We start from the raw sequence: 16,316 nt of genomic DNA, 5'->3' as shown, positions 1-16,316 counted from the left end.
TTTTTAACTTTACCTATTCTAGTATATATATAATTTATATTTTTGTGATGGCTAATAATGTTTAGCATTTTTAATGTCATTATTGGCCATTCATATATTATCTTTTAAAACTGTTTACTTTCCCTACACTTACTTTTTTTCTTTTTGTCTTATTATGTAGGTATTGTGAATATTTTTTCCCCATCTGTGTCTGAGAGCATTTTTGTTTTCTTAATTGTGTCTTTTGAGGACCAAAAGTTTTTAATTTTGGTTAAGTTCAATTAACATTACTTTTTTTCTAATAGCTAATGCTTTTTGTTGTCCTAAAAAATTTGCTTACCTCAAGGTTGCAAATATTTTCTTCTATGTTTTCTTTAGAAGACAGTTTTAGCTTTTATCTTGGGTCTATGATTCATACCTAGTTAGTTCTGTGTAAGGTGTGAGGTAATGATACTTATTTTTTTCTGATATGGATATCCAGTTGTTCCAAAACTATTTTTGAAAAGACTATCTTTTCCCCCATTACATTAGCACTTTTATTAACAAGAAGAAAAGAAAAGAAATTAATTGATTGTTTATGTGGGGGTCTATTTCTGGGCTTTATTCTGTTCCATTGATTACTATGTCTATCTTTATGCCAATTGTATAGTCTTGTTTATTGCAATTGTAATTGTATAATAAATCTTGAAATCAGATACTGAGAGTCCTCAACTTTTTTCTCTCAGTTTGTGGAACAATTTTAGGTTTTCAGGAAAACTGAGAAGAGTACAGAGAGGTTTCATATACCCTGCACCCACTTTTCCATATTATTGACATCTTACATCAGTATAGGAGAATAGAATTGCAGGTCATACGTTCCATTTTGCAAGATGACACAGTTTGCAAACTATAGTGACAGACAACGGATTAGTGTTTGGAGTGGAAGGGATCAGGGATAGGATGGGGAGAATTAACTCTAAAAGTTTACAGAAGAAACTCTTAAGTGATGTAAATATTCTGTATCTTGATTGTGGTGGTAGTTAGATAGTTTCATACATGTGTTAAAACTCATTTGCCACAGTTCATGAATCAATATTGATGCACTGTTGTTAACTAAGGTCCACACTTTTTTCACATTTACCTAGGTTTGCCTTTTTTTTTTTTTTTTCCAGGACACCATATGACATTGCTTGTCATATCTCCTTAGACTCTTCTCGGTTGTACCAGCTTTTCAGACTTTTCTTTTTTGATGACCTTGATAGTTTCATAAGGTATTGGTTAAATATTTTTTGTTGGATGCCCTTGTATTTCAATTTGTTCTTTTAAAGTCATGTTTAGATTAGGGTTATGGGGTTTTGGGAGCAAGATCACAGAAGTAAAGTGGCATTTTCATCACATCATATGAGGCATGCATAGTACCAATATAATTTATTACCATTCATATTGACCTCGATAGCCTGGCTAAGTAAGATAGGGTTTGCCAGGTCTCTTCAACATAAATTACTCTTTTTCCTTCTTTCCATACTGTACTGTTTGGAAGGAAGTCACTATTAAGGAGGCGGGGGTTGTCTTCCGCCTCCTTGAGAGTGGAGTATCTACATAAATTATTTGGAATCATGAAAGGGAAATTTGACTCTTCTTCCCATTTATTTATTTATTTATTCAATCATGTACTTATAATAGTAACTCATGAATATTTATTTTATGCTTTGGGTTACAGTCCAATACTGTTTTATTTGTTGTTCAAATTGTTCCAGCTTTGGCCATTGGAAGCTCTTTCTGTTGGCTCCTGTGTCTTTTTCACATACCCCCAAAGACATTGTGCTGTTTGTGGGTTTGTTTTTTTTTTAGCACTTCTTACTTTCCAGCACAGCAAGATGTTCCAGGTTCATCTAGTGTATTCCCCGTGTTAGTCCAAGAACCAGCCATTTCTCCAAGGACTTCTGGTTCCTTTTATTGGAAAATAGTACTAAAAATCAAGATTTGAATGTTAGGTATGCTCCATTATTTTTCAAAATTGTTTTGGATTTTTAATATCCTTTGTGTTTTTATGGAAACATTTACTTATTTTGATTGAGATCATATTGAGTTCCTCCTAGGTTTTAGCTTGGACACTAGACAGATTATTATATCTTTTATTGAAGTTAGAAAATTGGTGAGACAATTAGATGGGGATGGGGAATCAAAAATTCTATTTGGAGCAATAATCTAGGCCCTGTTGACCCTCCAAACTTTTAAGTCACTGGCTGGCAATATCCAAATCATTAATTTATCAATTGCTGATTTACATATTTTTTTGACATAAAGGACTGTGAATTTATAGCTGCAGCTCTTTCCCTGTAGCTACATTGAGTCTCAGAAGAGGGGAAAGAATACAACATTTCTTAAGCAGCAATCATATTTTTTGTATTGTTCAAGTATTTTGCATGCAAAATGTATTTAAAGACTTACAACCACATGAAAATAGCTATTATTCTTCCTACTTGTCAAGTGAAGATTGAGGTCTGAGAGAATAGGTAACTTCCTAGTCATGCAGCAGGGAAAGGTGGAGCTGGGGTTTAAATCCAGAATAGCATTTCCTGATCAAATATTGCATGGGACAGACACAAAAAAACTATCCATTGTTTATCTGAAATTTAAATATAACTGGGCATCCTGTATTTTTATTCGTGAAATCTGGCAACTCTAATCCGGGGCCATCTGGACTCAAAGGCTGTGCTCCTTTCGTCCCACAATGTGCACTCAATACATCAGGAAATACATGCAAATTCAGAAAATATTTTTGCCCATATTCTGTAATTTAATTTACTTTAGTTGCCATATATATAATACATATGAAAGTGGCCCACAATCCACACTTTGGAAAAAAGTATAATTTTGATCTGAAGATGAGGAAGGAGCTTTTTGGGGTTTTTTTTTTTTGGAGTAGATAGCTACATGTGCCTTTAATAAAATTAACCTTTTGCTTCAATCAACTGTCATCAAATTGGAACTTTTTCCAACCCAATAATTCCATTACACATTTAAGCTGTTCTGTAGCACTTAAAAATACAATCTAAAATATCTGAAAAAAAGAAAGTAGACACAATGTCTTGTCACATTTGATGCTGTCAATCTCTAATTAAAAATACCCTACCAGTGAGACTATTGATGGTATTGTTCTCCCTTTGGAGACAGAGCAACCTCTCAGTAAACTAGAAGAAATAATTAGTATCCTTACTTGCAATATACAGTGTAAATTTAAATTCTTTGTAATAATCTTCAAGGTTTTATAACAAAATCTCATCTCTTTCTAGCCTCATAATCCTTAAAATTATAATTTTCTTCTTTAATATGTCTCCTGTCCTGTATTTCAGTGTGTAAGGATATTCTTATTTCCTACACTAGTAGATTCCTGTGCCTCTTAGTTTTATAAATAGGAGAACAACATAAGTTCTTAAAAATTAAAGTTTTCATAACCTTGGAGTACCAGAAACAATTTCCAAATAATGTATCAAAATTTTAAAAAGGCATAAAGGAGAAGGTTGGTAGATTTACCCTACAAAAATGTGGAGTGTTAGTGTAGTCAAAAACACAGTAGGCCGGGTGTGGTGGCTCACGCCTGTAATCCCAGCACTTTGGGAGGCCGAGGTGGGCAGATCATCTGAGGTCAGGAGTTCAAGACAAGTCTGGCCAACATGGTTAAACCCCGTCTCTACTAAAAATACAAAAATTAGCCGGGTGTGGTGGTGGGTGCCTGTAATCCCAGCTACTTGGGAGGCTGAGGCAGGAGAATCGCTTGAACTCGGGAGGCAGCACTTGAACCTGGGAGGCGGAAGTTGCAGTGAGCTGAGATCACACCACTGTACTCCAGCATGGGCAACAAGAGTGAGACGCCAACTCACAAAAAAAAAAAAAAAAAAAAAAAGCCACAATAACGAATTAAAAGTCAAACATCAATTGGTCAAACTATTTGCATATAGACAGATAATAGTTCCTAAACTATTTATTAGTTTTTTTCCTCTGGTTTTATATTTTTCAAAACATATGACATTCTGTTATTATTTTTGCCAGCATATTTGAAAATTTCTGTTCTTTTCATTGTTTCCTATATTCCATTTCTTCTGTGATGATTTGCTTTTCTTCGTTTTGAACTACTTCCCTTATTAACTATTTCAGTAAGAGTCATGAATGGTAAATTATCTTGGCCTTCCATATCTGCATTTATTATTCAATTCTTGAATGATAGCTAACTGTGTAACGTTTCCAAGGTTCAAACTTCATTCCTTTCTTCATTCATTCAGATGAATTTAGTTTTTTCCTCTGATATCTTTTAATGTTTTTGCTTTAGTTTTGATGTTCTGCAGGTTTGCTATGATGGCTCTAAATGTGGATATATATGTGTATATTCTGCTCAAATTTTGTTATTGTTTTTTCACTTAATAAAAAATGAAAATTTGGGCTACTTTATATCTGTATATTAATATGCAAATATTGAAACTACAACATGTAGGGGTCAAAATGTATTATACCTAAAATAGACCCGAATTCAGAAGCCATGTCATATTTAGGTGATGGTCAAGATTCTGTGAATACAACCATATGCAAAACCAGATACAGGGTCACCTATATGGGAAACAAAAGAGACAGGGATTTGGAAAGTCATCTTTTAGTCCCCTGACATGGAGTCTAAACTTTCAAACAACTCTTTTGAGAAGAATTTAATTTCAGAAGTAGCAGCTCAGGGAGATGCACTGAGACCTCAGGCATATTTGCAGACTATTTTGAAATAGAAGACTGTAGCTGAGCCAGAAAGTGAAACCTCAATGCATACGTGGAAGCTACCATCTGCTGGTAAGATCGCAGGAAAGATGAAATGGTCCCTGAGGCTCCATCTGTACATTTATCCCTCTTCAATCAGTGACTGAGGGCCAGACATTAGACAGTGACTTGGGCAAATGGGAAGCACAGTGGGAGATTTGGGCTGGGGCTGCCCTGCTGACTTTCATCTGACCGCTGCTAAATGCCTCCACCCCAGGACTGCAAGCCTTATCCATACTTTATACCACCTCAGGGGAAGCATTGCTTGTAGTTTTGGCTAAGCTTCCCATTGGTAAAGGAGGGCACCTGAAAGGATAAGCATGGAGCTAGGAATAGAAAGAAGCTCAGCACTCTGAGAAAAGTGTTAACATCCTTTATCAGAGAAAGGTGAGGACTTTGCACAGTACCAAAGTTTCCCTCGATCAACTTAAAGAGATAAGAATAACAGAGCCTGAGAAATTTTTCTTCTGGAAAGGAAAGATATACAGGTGAGCTAAATGTCCTTTGTGGGCATGCAAAATTTACTAGGATGAGATTGTAGCAAGAATAATATACTTCAACATACTGCCTTAATCTGTGCAGGCTGCTATACAAAACACCACAGTCTGGGAGGTTTAAACAATGGACACTTATTTTCTCGCAGTTCTGGAGGCCAGAAGTCTGAGATCAGGTGCCAGAATGATCAAGTTCTGGTGAGGACCTTTTCTTCCATGCTTGCAGAGAACTGAATTCTCGCAGTATGCTCACATGGCCTTTCCTTAGTGAGAGCTTATGGAAAGCAAGCAAGCACTCTGATGTCTCTTCTTATAACGCCACTAATGCTATTGGACCAGGGCTCCATCTTCAAGACCTAATCTAAAACTAATCAGTGCTCAAAGAACTCATCTCCAAATACCATCACAATGAGGGTTAGGGTTTCAATATATGAAGACTGTGGGGACAAACGTCCGTCCGTAACATACACTAAACCATTGTGTTTAACGTCAGCAGTGAAACCTAACTCTTGGACTTTTCACAGCTTCAATAATAAAAGCCAGCCCCAGGTGACTCCAGCCGCAGTGTTGCTTTTATAAGGTGTAGAGTATGGAGAAATAAGGATGTTATCAGGAAAGAGGAAAGCTCTCCTGGTGTTTAGAGGACGAGATAAATTGGAAAGGGTGGAGTGGAGAGAAAGAAAGGGCCGGACGAGAGGAAAGAAAGTCAGGAGATCAGACCCAAATATCTGTTCTCCAGAAACACAGCTGAGGGAGATTTCCAAAGCAGAGGTGTTTGTGTCATCTTGACTTTGCTACTTTGGGTCAATACTACCACCAGTATAGGACTCCAGTATTTGCTGGACTACAGAAAAGGAACAAAATTTATTGTCGGTGGTTAAGCAGAAAGCCTGAATTCAGGCCTCAGTTTCCTAGGCATATGTGGTGTTAGCAGAAGATTCTGCAACTGCCCCAGTCCCACATAAGGTGAAGTGAAAGCGTCAAGAGAACCAGGGGCCAGAAGAGGCAAATCCAGGCAAGAAACTGGCAGGAGGTGCAACCTTGTGAGTTAAGCGTAGGATCCACGGGTGTTGGAGTTATCAGCTACTTGGAGATTAGGAAAGGGAAGTTCTATTAGGGATTGGTGCAGGAAGAAAGGCTGAACTAACCATGTGTTTCTGGTGTTTTCACATCTGGGGCCTTGCTAACCCTGGAGAGTCTGCCCTTCCAAAGGCTAGCCAGTTTCTAGAGATGGTAAAGGGCTTGCTGCATGCAAGTGCACCTTTCATATGCAAACCAACCAATCCAATGCCTACATCCCCAACCATTTCTATTAAACTCTTACATTCAGGGCCACTATCCCCCTGCCCTAACCACCTCACCACCAGGTGCCAAATAACTAGAAATAGCACCTAAACCTAGAGGCTGCTGACATTATTCAAACCAGCCAATCCTAAGCTTGCTTACCCTACCTCATCCACTTCTTCCCTCAGATATCATAATAATGGCTCTTGCCCTTGCTTTTTCCTCAATTCCCTTACCTCCTGACCCTGGTACTTACCCATGTGGCCACCCATGTGAAGTGACGTGTCCCCTTCTCTTGGAACTGTGAGTAACAAACTATCTTTTCAATGGGAATTACCTATTGATCTGTTGGCTTTACCATATCTGAGTAATAATAAAATTAAAAGAGAGGCCAATACTCAGAAATCAGTGGCACAAGACAGTGTATTCATAGACCAACCTGGAGAAGACTCTCTCATCCTAGACATATGGTATTCCTTCTGCATCCTGAACACATTCAGGGAAGGATGATGGCAGGAGAGACTCCTTGACAGGGGGAAATTGTCAGATCTTTGAATTGACACAATGTGTATCTCAAAATGACCCTTTAAACCAAGACAAATTCTGCTGTATTTAATTTGAAATATTTAACCTCTCCTGACCCACAAAGAACTCACATTAGCCACTGAATGGTATATAAATTTCAGAGAAAGGAAGCACATTTAGAGAGTAGAATTTTCTACCCTAGGTCCCAGTATTTAATAGTTTTTAAAACAAATAAATTACTTTCGTTGGGATTTATTTATAATTATAAATGAATGCATATTTATTGCAGATAAATTAATTGGAATATTTATAATTCAATATAAAGAAAAACAGCTCATTGACTCTCGCATCATTTTTTGAATATATCTCTCCATGCATTCATTTAGTGACTATATGTTATGTATATTAACAATATTTTAAAGAAATTTTCCATACCATTAAGTGGCTTTACTATTAATCACATAGTTCATTTTATCAATACCCTGTGGTTAGGTATTTTGATTTCTTTCTTTTCTTTTCTAAAAAATACTCTGATGAATATCCAGGTTTATAAAACTTTGCGTGCATTTTGTATTATTTCTAACTAGATAAATTTATAGAAATAAAACAAAAGAGTTCCATTTTCAAGTCTTTTTGATCATTTGAACATTTTGATGACTTTTTGTTCATATCACGAAATTCTCTCTAGCTATGCCAATTCATACACCTACCAGCAGTATACAAAAATGTCCATTTCTCCCTTCTCTTGAACACATACTGCTTTACAAACAATTTTTTTTTTAAGACAGAGTCTCCTTCTGCCATCCAGGCTGGAGTGCAGTGGTATGATCTCGGCTCACTGCAATATCCGCCTGCTGAGTTCAAATGATTCTTGTGCCTCAGCCTCCCAAGTAGCTGGGATTACAGGTGTGTGCCACCATGCTCAGCTAATTTGTATATTTTTAGTAGAGACGGAGTTTCACCACGTTGGCCAGGCTAGCCTGGAACTCCTGGCCTCAAGCGATCCATCCGCCTTGGCCTCCCAAAGTGCTGGGATTACAGGCATGAGCCATTGCACCCAGCCTTCAAAATAAATTTTTGTAAAATCTTTGCAAATAGAAAAAAAAAGCATCTCATACCTGTAAATTTCTTTTCTTTGATAATCAATGAAGAAGAAAATTTCCCATATATCTGAACATTTCTCGTATATCTCATATATGCCCTTTATTTAAATTGTGAATTCAGATACTTTCTTAACTTTCTTGGGATATATACCTCTTCCATAATCATGTCTAAAAGTTTCCTCTATGCTGGGGATTATTTACCTTGTTTGTCACATATGATGCAATTTTCCACCTGGCTAGATATTATCTTCTAATTTTGTTTTTAGATACTTGCGTTTCATTTTTGTTGACAAATATTTAATACATATGTATAGAAATATGAAATACGAAGATAGGTGTATGTTCCACAAATTTCCCTTTAATTCACAATTATTCCTAGAATGTTAAAAATATGTGCTTACTGGCAGAGAGTAATAGCTGTAGTAAATTAAGGAAACAAGTTTAAACAAATATGTGCTTACTCAAACTCTGCCTACCAGAAGCTGCTGCTCTTCCTGCCCACACAGCATTCACATGAGCTTCAAGGAATTTCAACACCCTAAAATGTCCTTTTCCCTGGTCCTTCAGAGAACAATAGATATAATAATAACTGCCAGTGTCAAGGGTCTTTTAGTAATTTCACATTCCTCCACTGGAAAGATATCATTTAACTACTAAAGCTTGTCAATGTTGTCTCATCTTACATATGGAGAAATGAGCTTAGTGACTTGCTCAACCACATCTGGGTAGTGAGTAGGATGGCATGACCACTACAGGCATACCTCGTTTTATTTTTTTTGCTTTAAGGTGCTTCAAAGATGTTGCATTTTTAACCAATTAAAGGTTTGTGGCAATTTTGTGTTGAGCAAGTCTGTTGGAGTCATTTTTTCCAACAGCGTGTGCTCACTTCCTGCCTCTATGTCACATTTTGGTAATTTTTGCAATATTTTCAAAATTTTTTATTATTATTATAACTGTTCTAGTGATTTGTAATCAGCGATCTTTGATGTTACCATTGCAATTGTTTTGGGACATCACAAGCCACACCTATGTACAATGGCAAACTTAATATGTAAATGTTGTGTGTGCTCTGACAGCTGCACCAGCCATTCTCTCATCTCTCACTCTCTCCTTGGGCCTCCCTGTTCCTGGAGAAACAATATTGAAATTGAGTGATTTAATAACCTTACAATGTTCAAGTGAAAGGAAGTCTAAGTGTTCAAGTGAAAGGAAGAGTCACACACCTCTCACTTTAAATCAAAAGCTAGAAATAAATTATTAAGCTTAGTGACAAAGGCACGTTAAAAGTTAAGATAGGCCAAAAGCTAGGTTTCTTGTGCTAAACAATTAGTTAATTTGTGAATGCAAAAAAAAAAAAATTCTTGAAGAAAATTAAAAGTGCTACTCCAGTGAACACAGGAATGATAAGAAAGCAAAACAGCCTTATTGCTTGTATGGAGAAACTTGTATTGGTCTGGATAGAATATCAAACAAGCCACAACATTCCCTTAAGCCAAACCCTAATCCCAAACAAGGCTTCAATTCTCTTCAATTCCATGAAGGCTAAAAGAGGTGAGGAAACTGCAGACGAAAAGTTGGAAGCTAGAAGAGGAAGCTAGTTCATAAGGAAAGAAGCTGTCTCCATAACATCAAAGTGCAAGATGAAGCAAGTGCTGATGTAGAAGCTGCAGCAAGTTATTCAGAAGATCTAACTAAGATCATTGATGATTATCACTACACTAAACAACAAATTTTTAATGTAGACAAACAGCCTCCTATTTGAAGGAGGTGCCATCTAGGATTTTCATAGCTAGAAAGAAGTCTATGTCTGGCTTCAGAGCTTCACAGGGCAGGTTGACTCTCTTGTTAGGGGCTAATGCAGCTGGTGACTTTAAGTTGGGGACAGAGCTTATTTACCATTCTGAAAATCCCAGAACCTTTAAAAATTATGCTCAACTTACTCTGCCTGTGCTCCATCCATGGAATAATGAAGCCTGAATGACAGCATATCTGTTTACAGCAGGCTTTGCTGAATATTTTAAACCCACTGTTGAGACATACTGATCAGAAAAAAAGATTTCTTTCAGCAGATTACTGCTCATTGATAATGCACTTGGTCAACTATGAGCTCTGATGGAGACTAATGCTGTACAAGAAGACTAATGCTGTTTTCATGCCTGCTCACAAACTATCTGATATGGTTTGGCTGTGTCCCCACCCAAATCTCAACTTGAATTGTACCTCCCAGATTTCCAAGAGTTATGGAAGGGATCCAGGAGGAGATAATTGAATCATGGGGGCTGGTCTTTCCCATGCTATTCTCATAATAGTCAATAAGTCTCACGAGATCTGATGGGTTTATCAGGGGTTTCCTCTTTTGCTTCTTCATCATTTTCTCTTGCTTCCACCATGTAAGAAGTGTCTTTCACCTCCCCTCATCATTCTGAGGCCTCCCCAGCCATGTGGAACTGTAAGTCCCATTAAACCTCTTTTTCTTCCCAGTCTTAGATATGTCTTTATCAGCAGTGTGAAAACAGACTAATATAGTAAATTGGTAACAGTAGAGTGGGGTGTTGCTGAAAAGATACCTGAAAATGTGGAAGTGACTTTGGAACTGGGTAACAGGCAGAGATTGGAACAGTTTGGAGGGCTCAGAAAAAGAATGAAAAATGTAGGAAAGTTTGGGGCTTTCTAGAGACTTGCTGAAGGGCTTTGCCCAGAATGCTCATAGTGATAGTGGACAATAAGGTTCAGACTGAGGTGGTCTCAGATGGAGATGAGGAACTTGTTGGGACCTGGAGCAAAGGTCACTCTTGTTATGTTTTGACAAAGAGACTGGTGGCATTTTTCCCCTGCCCTAGAGATTTGTGGAACTTTGAACTTGAGAGAGATGATTTAGGGTATCTGATGGAAGAAATTTCTAAGCAGCAAAGCATTAAACAGGTGACTTGGGTACTGTTAAAGGCATTCAGTTTTATAAGGGAAGCAGAGCATAAAAGTTCAGAAAATTTGCAGCCTGACAATGAGATAGAAAAGAAAACCCCATTTTCTGGGGAGAAATTCAAGCTGGCTGCAGAAATTTGCATAAATAGCAAGGATCCTAATGTTAATTCCAAAGACCATGGGGAAAATATCTCCAGGCCATGTCAGGGACCTTCACAGCAGCCCCTCCCATCACAGGCCTGGAGAAGCAGGAGGAAAAAGTGGTTTCATGGGCTGGACCCAAGGTCCCGTACTGTGTGCAGCCTAGGGACGTGGTGCCCTGTGTCCCAGCTGCTGCAGCCATGGTTGAAAGGGGCCAATGTACAGCTCAGGCTGTGGCTTCAGAGGGTGGAAGCCCCAAGCCTTGGCAGCTTCCACATGGTGTTGAGCCTGCAGGTGCACAGAAGTCACGAATTGAGGTTTGGGAACCTCCACCTATATTTCAGAAGATGTATGGAAATGGCCTGATGCCCAGAAAAAAGTTTGCTGCAGGGGCGGGGCCCTCATGGAGAACTTCTGCCAGGGCAGTGAGGAAGGGAAATGTGGGGTCATAGCCCCCACACAGAGTCCCTACTGGGGCACTGCCTAGTGGAGCTGTGAGAGGAGGGCCACCATCCTCCAGACCCCAGAATGCTAGATCCACTGACAGCTTGCACCGTGCACCTGGAAAAGCCACAGGCACTCAATACCAGCCCATGAAAGCAGCTGGGAGGGAGGCCGTACTCTGCAAAGCCACAGGTGTGGAGCTGCCCAAGACTATAGGAACTCATCTCTTGCATCAGCATGACCTGGATGTGAGACATGGAGTCAAAGGAATTTTAAAATTTGACTGCTGCACTGGATTTTGGACTTGCATGGGCTGTGTAACCCTTTTGTTTTGGCTAGTTTCTCCCATTTGGAAAGCCTGTATTTACCCAATACCTGTACCCTCATTGTATCTCGGAAGTAACTAGCTTGCTTTTGATTTTACAGGCTCATAGGCGGAAGGGACTTGCCTTGTCTCAGATGAGACTTTGGACTGTAGACTTTTGGGTTAATGCTGAAATGAGACTTTTGGGGACTGTTGGGAAGGCATGATTGGTTTTGAAATGTGAGGACATGAGATTTGGAGGGGACAGTGGCAGAATGATATGATATGGTTTGGTGGTGTTCCCGCCCAAATCTCAACTTGAATTGTATCTCCCAGAATTCTCGTGTGTCGTAGGAGGGACCCAGGAGGAGGTAATGGAATCATGGGGTCCGGTATTTCCTGAGCTATTCTCATGATATTGAATAAGTTTCATGAGACTTGATGGGTTTATCAGGCGTTTCCGCTTTTGCTTCTTCCTAATTTTCTCTTGCTGCCACCATGTAAGAAGTGTCTTTCACCTCCCACCATGATTCTGAGGCCTCCTCAGCCATGTGGAACTATTAATCCAATTAAACTTCTTTTTCTTCCCAATCTCGGGTATGTTTTATCAGCAGTGTGAAAATGGACGAATACACCATCCATTCTGCAGCTTATGGATCAAGGAGTAATTTGGGCTTTCGAGTTTTATTATTTTAAGAAATATGTTTTTTAAGGCTATAGCTGCCATAGATAGGAATTCCTCTGATGGATATGGGCAAAGTAAACTGAAAACCTTCTGGAAAGAATTCACCATTCTACATGTCATTAAGAACATTCATGATTCATGAGAGGAGGTCAAAATATCAACATTAACAGGAGCTTGAATGAAATTGATTCCAACCTTCATGGGTGACTTTGAGAGGTTCAATACTTCAGTGGAGGAAGTAACTGCAAAGGTGAAAATAAAAAGAGAACTACATTAGAAGTGAAGTCTAATGATGTGACTAGATGGCTAAATTTGAATGGATAAAGAGTTGCTTCTCGTGGATGAGCAAAGAAAGTGGTTTCTTGAGATGGAATCTGCTCCTGGTGAAGATGCTGTGAACATTGTTGAAATTACAACAAATGATTTAGAATATTCCATAAACTTAGATGAAAAAGTAGCAGTAGGGTTTAAGAGGATTGACTCCAATTTTGAAAGAAGTTCTACTGTGGGTAAAAGGCTATCAAACAGCATCACAAGCTACAGAGAAATTTTTCATATACTAAAGAGTGAATCAATGTGGCAAATATCACTGTTGTCTTATTTTAAGAAATTGCCAGTCACCTCAATCTTCAAGAACCACCACCCTGATTAATCAGCAGCTATCAGCATTGAAGAAAGACCCTTTACAACTTGCTAAAGGCTTAGCTGATGATTAGCATTTTTAGCAATAAAGTGTTTTTAATTAAGATACATAGATTTTTAAAGACATAATGCTATTGAACACTTAATAGACTATAGTATAGTGTAAACATAACTTTTATAGTTACTGAGAAACTAAAAAATTCATTTGACCCACTTTATTGTGATAATCACTTTATTGTGGTAGTCTGGAACTGAAACTGCAGTATCTCTGAGGTATGCCTGTAAACACATGTAGTTTTCTTTGCACCTTGAATTCTGTGCTTTTTGTTATAGGACTACTTTCCCAGTGTCAAAAGATTTGTAAAATCTATCCATCAAAGTTGATAAAAGTGATGAGAAATAAAAGCATCATCTCTGGGATAATAGAGTGGTATCATCTCTGGGATAATAATAGTGAACACAGATTAGGATCTTACAAAAGGCCAATGTTATGGTCAAGATGTGTGTTTGAATTTAAAAGTAACCTGAAACAGAGAAAAAATATTGGATCTCCTCTTTCTCATCCTAAAATCCAAGCTCTAAGGAGATTCCAAGTTTATGATTGTTGTATTCATCAGGGTTCTCCAGAGGGACAGAACTAATGGAATATATATATATATATGAGTTTATGAAGTATTAACTCACACAATCACAAGGTCCCACAGTAGGCCATCTGCAGGCTGAAGAGCAAGGAGAGCCAGGCCAAGTTCCAAAACTGAAGAACTTGGAGTCTGATGTTCAAGGGCAGGAAGCACTCAGCATGGGAGAAAGATGTAGGCTGGGAGGCTAGGTCAGTCTCTTTTTCATATTTTTCTGCCTGTTTTATATTCTAGTCACACTGCAGCTGATTAGATTGTGCCTACCCACATTAAGGGTGGGTCTGCCTTTCCCAGCCCACTGACTCAACTGTTAATCTCCTTTAGCAACACCCTCACAGACACACCCAGGATGAATACTTTGTATCCTTCAATCCAATCAAGTTGACACTCAGTATTAACTATCACAAGTTTCATATTGCTCTTGGGATAAGAAGAAGGTGGTCATTGTTTGCTCGTGTGTGCTCAACAGGGACCATGCAGGAGCTGGAACATATTAAGAACAGTAGACCTAAGTATAAGTTTATTTAATACTTGCCTTGTTCTTGACTGAAAGAACATCTCTGAATTTTCACCCTTTCCCTCTTAACCTACAGTCATTTCCACTATACCTCTTAATCCTGCTTAATTTCTACATAACGCTTATCACCTCTCACGTATTATATATTTATTTGGTTACTCGTTACAATCTGTGTCCTCCCACTAAAATAAAATTTCCATGGGACTTAGAACTTGTCTGTTTTAATCATTACACTATAGTAATCCCCTCTAATACTGCCTATAGCACAATGGTCACCAAATAAATATTTGTGATAGAATTAACAAATGGGAACTGAGCAACTCTAGATTTCAGTTAAAACACAAGAGGCCTCATATCCTCTCCTAAACTCTGTATGAGGAAATCTGGAATGCAGCTTCTCCTTACCACCACTCCCATTCCTGGCTACCTCAGTGTACTCCAATATTTTTCCCAACTCCCAAAGTTTTTTGAAAATTAGTATTTAAATGATAATACACAAACATGAGTATAAAGCATAACTGAGTTTATTAAATTACAAAACACTTCTGTTTTTACTGTTATTCTAAAACTATACATTGAGTTTTTACTGTTATTCTAAAAGTATATATTTTAAACAAACACACTGGAACTTATTCACACTTACTATATAGGGTGAGGTTCCTTTTGAGTTGCTGAGGCACCTAATGACTGTTACTTGCAGAAGAGGTATGCTTAGTTCTCTCTTACATAAAAGTCTGAAGTTATGCAGGCTAGGACTTGCATAGGGCTGGATCCCATGAATGTTTCAAGCATATGAATTCTATCTCTTGCTGCTCTACTATTTATGTGACCTCCAATCTCAAGATCATCTCATGGGCCAAAGTAACTGTTTCAGTCCAACTATTTTGTCACATTTCAGCCTGTAGGAAAAAGATGTGGACAAAGAAGAAAGGGCAAAAAATGCATGGATGTTTGTCTAGTAATGAAAATTCAAGGTTGCCACATGACACTTTTGCTTATATCCCATTGACCAAAACCAAGTGACATGATTTCATCTTGTTTGGAAGGAGGCAAGGAAATGTAGCCTTTCTTCCATGCAGTCATGTATCCAGCTAAAAATCAGGGATTCTACTACCATGTATGAAAAGAAAATGGATATAGGGGACAAGTAGCAGTTTTTATCAAAGCATCCATCTGAATGTCTTCCCATACAAAATGGTCATCCCAGGAGGCTAAGTTCCAATAATGCTGTCATTGCCATAGTTTTCAACTTCCATTGGCACCTACAATACATTTTTATACATATCCTTAGAAGTGTCAAATATTCAGTCTTAAGGAGTAAATTTGATTTTTTGAAGCATCAAAAATTATCTTAGAGAGAATTTCCTGTGTAAGATATGCAACAAAATTAGTGATGTCATTTGAGGGCAGAAGGTTGGATATGGCTTCAAACTTATGTTTCTCTAAAAACAATTTCCTGAGAGGGTCTTACACATGTTTCCCAAGACTGGCATCACCATTTACTCTCCTCCCAACACCATCATCAATGTCATCATTAGTAGTAGCACTTAACAAAGACTGAAAACTTATGAGGAGGGTGATTTTCATATGTGACACTTTCTACTCAAAATATAGTACTCAAATAAATGCGTTTAGTGCCCCTCAACTTGTAACTTCCAGACTTACATCCATTTGTCTGTATAATATGCTCTAACAACAGATGGTATATCATTAAAAATCTTTATTACACTTGATGCTCTTCTAGGATGGAGAGAAATCTATTTCCAAAATTTACATAAAGATGCTGTAAAATTAGGGACTTACATTTAAAAAGCTACTTGGGATTGATTTAAAATGACATGTAATATTGTGCTTTCACC

Source organism: Homo sapiens, chromosome 3 (genome assembly GCF_000001405.40).
Source record: "Homo sapiens chromosome 3, GRCh38.p14 Primary Assembly".
NCBI lineage: Eukaryota > Metazoa > Chordata > Mammalia > Primates > Hominidae > Homo > Homo sapiens.
This window is presented reverse-complemented; position numbering follows the sequence as displayed.